An 11,283-nucleotide genomic window follows, 5' to 3' on the forward strand; every position below is an offset into this window, starting at 1 on the left:
GGCAACCTGCGCATATCCTGACAAGCTTGACATGTCCAAATCATTTAATTATCATAATAGATGTGTTGGTCAACATCCAAAACTTTTTAAGAACCAGTAAGGATTAAGAAAATACTTTCCTTTGCTCTGCAGCTTTGTAGTTTAATACAGCCCCATTTATTTATTTTTGTTTTTGTCCTCTGTGCTTTTGAGGTCTCCCCCATAAAATGTTTGCCTAGAACAAAGTCCTGAAGTGTCTTCCCTGTTTTTTTCTAGTGGTTTTATAGCTTCAGGTCTTACGTTTAAGTCTTTAGTCCATGTTGAGTTGAATTGTGTGTATGGTGAGAGGTAGGGGTCCAGTTTCATTTTTCTGCATATGGAAATCCAATTTTCCTGCAAACATTTTTTAAAGAGGATATCCTTTCCCCAATGTATGTTCTTGGCATTTTTGTCAAAAATCAGCTAGCTGTAAATATGGGGTTTTATTTCTAGATTCTCTGTTTTGTTCCATTGGTCTCTATGTGTCTTTTTATACCAACACCATGCTATTTTTGTTACTATAGCCTTGTATTTTGAAGTTAGGTAGTGTGATGCCTAAAGCTTTGTCCTTTTTGCTCAGGATAGTTTTGGCTATTTGCGCTCTTTTTTGGTTCTATACAAACTTCAGGATTTTTAAATTTTTTTCTGTGAAAAAATAATGTTATTTCGATAGGGATTACATTGAATGTGTGGATTGCTTCGGATGATACGATCATTTTAATCATATTAAGTCTCTTCATCCATGAGCATAGGATATCTTTCCATTTGTTTGCACCCTCTTCAATTTCTTTTGTCAGTGTGTTTTAGTGCAACTTGTAGGTATATTTTACCTCCTTAGTTACATTTATTCCTAGGGTTTTTTTTTTTTTTTTTTTTTGGATGGAGTCTCGCTCTGTCACCCAGGCTGCAGTGCAGTGGCACAATCTCGGCTCACTGCAAGCTCCGCCTCCCGGGTTCACGCCATTCTCCTGCCTCAGCTTCCCGAGTAGCTGGGACTACAGGCACCCGCCACCACGCCAGGCTAATATTTTTGCATTTTTAGTAGATATGGGGTTTCACTGTGTTAGCTAGGATGGTCTCTATCTCCCGACGTCGTGATCCGCCCGCCTCAGCCTCCCTAAGTACTGGGATTACAGGCATGAGCCACCGTGCTTGGCCGGGTTTGTTTGTTTGTTTGTTTGTTGCAGCTATTTTAAAGAGAATCTCCAAACAACCTGTTGAATGGGAGAAAATATTTGCAAGCTATTCATCTGACAGGTGACTAATATCCAGAAAATACAAGGGACTCAAATAGCTCAACTGTAAGAAAACAAACAAACAAACAAACAAACAAACAAAAAACAACCTCACAAATCTCACAAATAATCCTATTAAAAAGTAGGCAAAGGACATGAGAGGACATGAGTAGACATTTCTCAAAAAAAGGCATACAAATGGCATAACCACCAAGTATATAAAAAAGATGCTCAACATCACTAACTATCAGGGAATTGTGAATCAAAACCACTATGTGATATCACCTTACCCCAGTAGAATGGCTATTACTAAAAAAAACAAAAAAATGACAGATACTGGTGAGGGTACAGGGAAAAAGGAGCTTTTATACACTGTTGGTGGAAATGTAAATTAGTACAGCCATTATGAACAAATACTATGGAGATTTCTGAGCAAAATTAAAAATAGAAGTACCATATGATCCAGAAATTCGACTACCAGGTATTTATCCAAAGGAAAATAAATCGGTGTTCCAAAGGGAGACCAGCACTGGCATATTTACTGTAGCACTATTCACCATTGCAAAGATATAGCATCAACCTATATCTCCATCAATTAACAAATAGATAAGCAAAATGGAATACTAATTGTGCACAAAAACATTGAAATTATGTCATTTGCAGCAACATAAATGGAACTGGAGGTCACTATGTTAAGTGAAATAAGCCAGACACAGAAAGACAAACACCACATGTTATCACTCATACATGGGAATTAAAAATGTTGATCTCATGTAGGTAGACAGTAGAATGATAGATGCCAGAGGCTGGGAAGTGTGTATGGCTGAGAGTGGGGAATGAAGAAAAGATGATCAATGGGTGCAAACATAGAGTTAGTTGGAAGCTATAAGTTCTTTTTTTTTTTTTTTTTCTTTGAGACAGACTTTTGCTCTTGTCACCCAGGCTGGAGTGCAATGACCCAATCTGGGCTCACTACAACATCCACCTCCCAGGTTCAAGCAATTCTCCTGCCTCAGCCTCCTGAGTAGTTAGGATTACAGGTGCCCACCACCACGCCCAGCTGATTTTTGTAGTTTTACAAATACAAACATTTCACCATGTTGGCCAGGCTGGTTTTGAACGCCTGACCTCAGGTGACCCGCCCACCTCGGCCTCCCAAAGTGCTGGGATTACAGGTGTGAGCCACCACACCTGGCTGGAAAGTATTTTAAGTTCTAATGTTCAATGGCAGAATAGAGTGACTATAGTTAACAACAATGTATTGTATATTTCAAAGTAGCGAGAAGAGAGAATGTGAAATGTTCTTAAAACATAAAAATGCTAAATACTGAAGGGGATATATATCCCCAAAACCGTGATGATAATTACACCTTCTATGCATGTAACAAAATATCACATGTACTCCATAAATATGTAAAATATTCCGTATCAATAAAAAAATGAAATGATATAGGTAAAAGAAAGAAAATAGGCTGGGCGCAGTGGCTCACGTCCCAGCACTTTGGGAGGCCGAGATGGGCAGATCACGAGGTCAGGAGATCAAGACCATCCTGGCTAACACAGTGAAACCCTATCTCTACTAAAAAAATACAAAAAGCTAGCCAGGCGTGGTGGCACACACCTGTAGTCCCAGCTACTCGGGAGGCTGAGGCAGGAGAATCACTCGAACCTAGGAGACAGAGGTTGCAGTGAGCTGAGACTGTGCCACTGCACTCCAGCCTGGGTGACAGAGTGAGACTCCATCTCAAAAAAAAAAAAAAAGAAAGAAAGAAAGAGAAAGAAAGAAAGAAAATAAATGTATAAACTCAACGCTCAAAAAGTTGTGTGATCTCAGTTTCTTCATTTCAAATATTGTATTAAAATATTTTCATATACAAACATATTATTTACCATTTATCTCCTAAATTTGATACGTTAAACTCTCCAATTTTAGTCTTTTTTTTTCTTTTTTTTTTTTTTTTTATTTTGAGACGAAATCTCGCTCTTGTTCTCCAGGCTGGAGTGCAATGGTGCAATCTCAGCTCACTGCAAACTCTGCCTCCCAGGTTCAAGGGATTCTCCTGCCTCAGCCTCCTGAGTAGCTGGGATTACAGGCGCCTGCAACCTCACCTGGCTAATTTTTGTATTTTCAGTAGAGACGGGGTTTTCACCATGTTGGCCAGGCTGGTATCGAACTCCTGATCCACCCACTTTGGCCTCCCAAAGTGCTGGGATTACAGGCATGAGCCACCGTGCCCGGTCTCCAATTGTAGTCTTTAAAGACTTACTTGTAATATACTTCCCAGCTGAATAACAGGGAGAGTTTAAACCAAATTCCTACCAGTAAATATTTTTCTAATATAATAAAATGGCATAGCATTTCTTAACTAAAATATAAACAGATCCTATTTGAGCACAAAAGGGGAGAGCATATCATTCAGTATATTGATTAGATATTGCAGAGATTTTAGTAAAATTGAAGTTTATTAACAATATATACAAAATGTCAACTTGAAATACATTTAAATGAGATGTACTTTCACTTAGATAAAAATGATGTTTCTTGCACCCCAAACAGCATTTACTCTGTTGTAGTGGTTATTGATTTCATCATCGGTGCTGGTCAGTTACATTATGACTATAGCTGAGTTATGGCAACTAATAAAATAACCATAATTGAGAAACAATGAGCTTTCCAGATACTCAGTGAGATGCTTCCTCTTGGCAAAACAGACAATATTTTCCGGGTTTGGCTGCACTATTCTTTGTGTTTAGGTATTGACTTTCTGATAATCCTAACTTGGCCTTGCTTACTAACAAGGAAAAGTATCATTTGCCATTTTAATGTAATGGGGTTGGGGGAAGAAGAGAAAACTACTATTAAAAGCAGACCTCATCAGACTGCAATAAAATATAAACTACTAAAAGTCTGACTATCTGATAACCAAAGGCGTAAAATAATCTTTTAACATTTTTACTTTGTTTACATAGACATGAAAGTGTTTTAAAACCATACTGCCATGCAGAGCTGATGTTCATTCTGATTCGTCAGTCTCCCACGATATTTGGTTGGTACTTATTCCTGTTCCAGGTGTTAAATGTCTGGAATAGCATTCCTGCTTTGAAATATTTTTCAAAGTGTAAGAAGCAAAACAACAAATAGGGTGTTGTTACCCCACTTCTTCCCCCCAGCTCCCCCTTCCTCACACAGTTCATGCCACATGCCACTCTCCTGGACTACTGGAAATGCGTCAGTCCACTCTGGGCTCATCCCATCATCCCCCATGCTGCAACCTGAGAGAGAGTTGCAAGTTGCAAATCTGATCTTGTCACCACCACTCTCCACACTAAATCCCTCTAATGCCTCCCCCTTTCTTTTTGGATAAATTCCTTCTGCTTGCATAGCCACGTGGTTGGCTTCTATAGCATCACTTCACACTGTGGTCACCTGCCTTCTCCTCACTCAGGAACTTCTCTCCATTGAAGAAGTTCTTCTTCCCCATCTCCAGGGCTTTCCCACTGACAGTTGTATCTCCCCCATACCAAGCCCAGGTGGTCATCTCATCCCACAATTGTCTTTCAATCCCATCAACAATTATTTGGAAAGGCTTCCTTGATCCCCGAATTTAAGCCAGCTCTCTTGATGTAGGTGTCTTTCCTTCAGAATAATTATTTACATTTGAATCAAGTATATATTAATTAATGTAATTATTTCACTATTATCATTTTCCCACATAGGATTGTAAGCTGTATGTGAGCAGGGTTCTTGAAACCTGTAAATCGTTTTGATCATCACTATAAACTCAAAGCCTAGGACAGTGATTGCATGGGATAAATACTTAATATGTTGTATCAAATAACAAATGTTTGCCCTTCTGTAAGCAGAGTAAACTCTGCTTATAAGTTTTGTAACCTCTTAATTAATTATATTTTTCATTATAAGTGCTGACTCTTGTTACAAACACATTTTAAGTTTGACATTATTGGTTGATTTATTCAGTTAAATGTATTAATTCTGAAACTTATTTAAAAATCAGAAAAACGATGATAACATTTATAAATAACCGATGAGTCATAAAGACAGAGTGGTATCAAGGGAATATCCCTCCCTGCAAAAAAAAGCAAGCAAACAAATAAAACTACATTTATCAGGTTTTCTATAAAGAGGTTTGTATTTAAATCAAATTTTAAATTATGATAAAATGCATTTTGAAGTGTTAAACAGAAATCCAAATATAGGTGATATTTTCAATGCTCCTCAACTACAAAATTTAATTTTAGAGATGGCTAACCATCTATGAAGTGTTATTGGATGAGCATGGTAACAATATTATGAAATAGAGTTTTTCTCACTTAAAATCCCAAAAGGAGCCCTGAACAAGTCATTTTAGAAAAGAAAAAAAAATACTGAATAATATTTTCACAAGCGTTAAATTAGATATTAAGTATAAATGAAACTTCAAACATGTAACATATTAAAGTAACTTTTGTTATTTAAGCATTACCAATAAAATTTCAAAATTATTCTTACTTTAGATTTTAGAAGAATTAAGTAAAAGAGATCAGCCAGGAGTTCTGTGTAACTTTGAGTAAGTTAAATTTCATCTGTAGTTTCCATGTCCAAAATAGAAATTTGAAAGATCCAACAGACCTTAAGACACACATCTTCAAATGGAAAAATTGTTGCTATTTGTTTAACATTTGGTAAGATTTCAAAGTATTGTTTTTTATTACTTCTAAGTAGGAAAGATTCCATCCAAACTTTGAAATGTCCTTTGCCCTTATATATGAAAATGTGCACTCATGTGCATTCATGAAGGGGAGAGAAATGATCAATGCTCTAATTAGAGCTGGCACCAAACCTGGCGTAGGCAGCTGCTGTGAGCTTTGTCATTACAATTTTGACGTGACATATGATTTGCGAAATACTGGGAGCATTAGAAGGCTGCCCCATCTAGGCTCCATCATGCTCAGCTCCAGACACTACCCCCACCAAAAAAAATCACATAATACCACATAAAATTATTCACTTCCAACCTCTTCCATCACTTGGTTACTCCATACAACCTCAATAGATTCTCCAGAACCTGATCAATTTTGAGATACTATTTGTCAATCTAAAGTGGTCAAGAACATTATGGCTACAATCCCTTGCTGTTCAGTTACTTTTTTGTATTCAGACAATTTTTCAAAAGAATGACCTCTCTTAAAAGGTTATGTTTTATAAAAAGTCACTTGAAAGAGGGATAAAATTTTCTATCTCAAAATGTTCCTCTGCAATTATAAGCAGCAAAACATGGAGAGACACAGGTCTTTATACTGACTTTAGACTCATTCTGTTTAGATAACTGTATCACAGAAGTATTAGATCAACAAAGGTTCAAATCATTTCTTCACTAAGTTTCACTCTCCCATCAAAATCCAATGCTCAGCTCTCAAAGTCAGCAGGAGATTTCAGTGTAAGCAGAGCAATGATTTCTGTGCCTACAGGTTGTCTTTCCTAAGAGAAGAAAAAAATGGTAACTATTAATCAATAGAAAATCCAACACCAGTGGAACAAATGTGTGCTTGCTAAAGCAGCATTTTCAGAACCCACATTGAATCTTCAGCATGGAAACAAAGTGCCTGTGCCTGGAGGCTCCTCCAGACCTTTTGCATCCCTAGAATCTTGTGGAGCTATAATCTCTTTTCCATAAATCTCAATTCCAGAAGGTCTTTATTCCTGAAATTATGTTACAATCTCTTTAAAACCAGATTTGGAGAGATGGTATGTGGAAATGTTTCAATGAATCCTTGGCTATGTTTACATTTGTTATGAATGTTCCCTATCTTTGATATTTAATACACAAATGGAATTTATTTCCACACATTTGGCTGGCTTAAGTCTGGGCAGAAACATTACAAGTGTGAGCTTAAGGGAACTATTGCGTTAAAAATGTTATTTGTAACATTTTTGTGTAGACTCTCATGAAGAGGATGTGTAGTCTATTTGTGGAAGAAGAAGGTGGTGAATATATGCATAAATCAATAAGTAGACAGATACAGAAATGGCTAGATGCTCACTAAAGCACTGTTCATCTTGGGAGGAAGTAGCAACAAATTAAATTACTAGCCACTTACGAGTGATTAATTTATACACTGAAATATTATATACCCATTTAAAGAAATGAATGAATCTGTGTACAACGATATGAAACAAATACATATAGGCCCAGAGAGAGACCTGCCCATATGTTGCATCAGCATAGACAAGCGTTTAACACAATATACATCACTACTTAATTTCAGAGAGTAAGATAATATTAGAATCTATTAGTAATATTCAAATTTGTTTTTAAGAGTATATTATAACCATTTAAAAATAATGAAGGAAAAAAGAGGAACGTGCTATGTCAAGGACAGCTTGTATATTATACAAGCACAGACCAGGGGAACAGGGAATCTAAAAAGTCAAGGTAGCAGGTGGGAGGGAGAGCCCTACACACAAGAAAAGAAAGAGACTCGCCCACTGAAGTTTCACTTGACCTGGTCTTGCTGCATTTATAGTGTACAATTGGACAATGTAGTTAAAATATTCCCTTAAAATGAGAAGATACAACCTTTATAATACATAAAAGATCAAGTCCACTACCATGCGTTAGCTGATTAGCAAATAACACTGCCAAAAGTAAAAATAAAAATAATGGATAATAGCAGTAATAATAACGTGTTTTTTTTTTCCTCACTTAAACTGGCTTCCAGTCATTGAAAAATACTCTGTTTGTCTTTGGTGTTGGTAACAAAATACTAATATTTTCTGAATAATTATCTTTTTTATAATATTTCTTATGTTTTTCTTTAACATTTAATGTTTTTATTCTTTTCTTAAGGGAAAATGCCTGTGGACTTTAAAAGTCAAGAACTTCAGATAAATATCTATTTTTTACATCTCAGTTTTAATCATATCTTTTCACTGGTTTTTTGACTGCTGGCATTTATATTTGCTTTTTGCCTAGAATAATTGCTTCTTATTTAAAACCCTCTGAATTTCTAAATTGAAATATTGGATTACTCCTCACAATGAGGGTTTGGAATTTTCTTCAAGATGCACATTTTTCTTTCTTTAACCTTTAAGGAAACGAGTTGAAGCACGTCATGGTATGTATTTCTACAGCAACCACTTTGCTTCTGCAATTTCAGACACTTTACACTGTCTTTCAAGAATAAATACCATTTGAGAAAGAGTGGCGGGGGTAGCACATCTCTCCAGCCTCAAACTATTCCTTCCTCAGGGCAGAATTTCCCCGTGACGCTCTCTTGTCATCATCACCTTCTTCTTGTCTGAACTCATCAACATTTCAGCCAAATTACTGTGCTGCTAAGTCACTGGGAAGATCAGGACCCCACACCAAGATGATCATCTTAGAGATGCACAAAACCCTAGAATGGGTAAGGAGAGATCAAATATTTCAGATAGGAAAGTGGGATATTTGTCTAGATAGGTGGCCTAAACGTCTACTCTGATCAGGAAAACTACCTTAAGCAGAATCAATCAAAATAATGCCTTAATAATGAATCAAAAAGTGAATGCCAAAGTATCTGCCTTTAGTCAATTTGAGTGTAGCAAATGAAATATGACTTAAAACAGGGTCAATCTTGAATGCAAAATATGGACTTTCTGAACACACACAAATGTTTCCATAAATATATAAAATGTATTTGTATTTCATAGACAACTAAGGTACAATTTAAACTACGTTTGTTTTTGCAAACTCCTAAATTTCATTATCTGCCATTCATTAAGAAAAGGAGGCGAAAGAAAAAAAAAAACTTTAAACACTAATGTATAATTTCAATTTTGTTTTAGGCAACTGTGTAAATGGCATTTTTTTTGGCATATTTGTATAACACAATAAATGTGTAGCCCACAGCCAAGGGGATTGCATAAAATTTCCCCTGGCATAGCTACTATTTCCAATCCAATCATGCTCAAGAGAATATCTTATCTGCTTTGTATACACACACATACACACACACACACACACACATCTTCAACATTTGTTAACATTAACATTCATTTTGTTTCCTGTTATGCATGTGTATATGTGCTTTTATTTAATAATGTTAGTTAACATTTCCTTTTTCTGTAAATAATGATAGTATAATTTGAAAAGTCTGGCTCAATTCCCAGACTTAGGTCAAGCTAATATACGAATATATTTAGTCCAGTTTACTGTTTTATTGGACTTTGATGTTGAGTTATGTTTTTTGAAAGAGTATTTTTATACTGCAAGTTCCAAAAAAGATCCTAAAAAAGACAAAGCCTTGTTTTCTTTTTATCTTTAACTGTAATAAGAAGTTGGATCTAATTTCGAAACTCCCACAATTTGCTGCACATATATTTTGGATTATGTGGGAGGCTAAAATTATATTGAGCATGAGGAATTGTTCCTATCTTATTTTCTGGCATAAAATCATGTTTTTCTTTATTGTTTTTGTATGTCTCAGAACTTCAGAAAAAGGAAAAGCATGCATCCAAAATAAAGAAAAAGTAATTATAAATTTACAACATCACAAGTGAACACAACCTACTTCTCGTAGTATTTTTGGTTTGGATATATTGCTAAATAGCATCATCATTCTCTTAGACATGAGGTTGAAAATTTCTGGGTTACTGTTGACTTCTTTCTTATTCTTACTTTTTTAAGTCCTTTTGTTTATTTTTATTCTTTCTGTTATCACAGATCCTACTCATTTTTGTCCCTCTGTAACTATTATCTAAATACATTTAAGAGATTCTTAATTGTCTTTTATAATTTACCTTCTTTCCTCTCCAAGCTATTATTAATTTTGAAGCCAAAACAATCTCAATCAAAATATTTACTTCATTTTAATGATTTCTCATTGTCTAGTGTGTTGAGTTTCAGGAAGAATGCCGGTGTCCTCTCTATTCTGGCTATACCTTAAAATTACTTCAGTGATTTTTAAATACACCAGTCTCTGGACCATAACCTCGAGACTCTGATTCATTATGCAAGAGTGGACATGGGTCTTTGAATTTCTAACAAATGTTATTGTGTTTTAATTGTGCTAAGAAAACCCTGCTCTGGCAACCTAATAAAGTAGCCTGCTAATAACAGGTACTCAATAAATATTTGTGGAACAAATGAATTATTGATTCTTTGTATGAACAGTTCATTCTCAAGCAAACACCTGAACATCAACCTCTCCCACCCCACACCCCTTTTGAAATATTCTTCATAAAACTTCCTACTGTATGAAAGTATCTTCTGTGTGTGAATTTTTACAGTCTGCATCACCACATGGAATGTGAGATCCCTGAGAAAGGAGACTTTGTTTGTTTTGTTCCCCACAGTGCCTCAGTGTCTGAAATAGCACCTGGTAAATCATAGGGACTTCTGAAATACTTTCTGAATGGATAAATGAGTGGTAGGAAAAGTGTGAACATGGTAGATAAAAGAGAAGTCACCACTAGAACACCAAGTTCCTGACATACAGTTTCAAGGTCCAGCAACATAGTTGCTACGAACTAGCTGCCTTTAAAGTTCTCTAGATCAACTATATAGATTAGCAAGTCTTTTAACTAAGCATTAAGCAGAGTACTGCTCTGAGATTTAGCACCTCAGTCTTTTAGGTCCCTAAAGACTCCGGATTGGTTCCAGAGGTGGACTGTCAAATAGGAGGACTTTCTGCAGTAATGGAAATGGTCTATGTCAGTGCTGTCCAACATGGTAGCCAAGTGTGTGTGGTTATTGAGTACTTGAAATATGGCTAGTGGCACTGAGGAACTAAAGTTTTAATTTTAATTAGTTTAAGTAGCCTTAGGTTGCTAGGGGTTACCATATTGGATATTGCAGTTCTAGAGTTATTCTTCTCTCCTCATATTCAAAATTATCTTATGATGCTATCATAATTGAAAGATTAGCCAGGGACCCTATCATGGCTATGGCAGTCATGTCCTGTGAAAAATTCCATTAATGACCTCCACGTTTTATGATGTGTAGAGCAAAATCTCAGTCTCCCTGAGTAAGGCCTGCTCCATGTGGACACC

At 36.0% G+C, this 11,283-nt stretch overlaps 1 long non-coding RNA gene across 1 annotated transcript in view, besides 1 other annotated feature; it reads right to left on the minus strand.

The window, feature by feature from the left end:
* Window positions 363-532: an enhancer, noted in NCBI's record as "experimental_31616 CRE fragment used in MPRA reporter constructs". NCBI's record gives its function as "activates a minimal promoter by MPRAs in K562 erythroleukemia cells, with activity observed for both the introgressed and non-introgressed 13:106106653 variant alleles {active_cell/tissue: K562}" and the evidence as "EXISTENCE:reporter gene assay evidence [ECO:0000049][PMID:34662402]".
* DAOA-AS1 (DAOA antisense RNA 1) overlaps window positions 5,199-11,283 on the minus strand; it is a 46,627-nt gene continuing 40,542 nt past the window's right edge. The window contains exons 6-7 of the long non-coding RNA NR_040247.1: window positions 8,443-8,651; window positions 5,199-6,732 (exon numbers count right to left, since the gene is read on the minus strand). This is a non-coding gene — a long non-coding RNA (DAOA antisense RNA 1). The remainder of the gene's footprint in view (window positions 6,733-8,442; window positions 8,652-11,283) is intronic.

This window comes from Homo sapiens, chromosome 13, assembly GCF_000001405.40.
Source record: "Homo sapiens chromosome 13, GRCh38.p14 Primary Assembly".
In the NCBI taxonomy this organism is placed as follows: domain Eukaryota; kingdom Metazoa; phylum Chordata; class Mammalia; order Primates; family Hominidae; genus Homo; species Homo sapiens.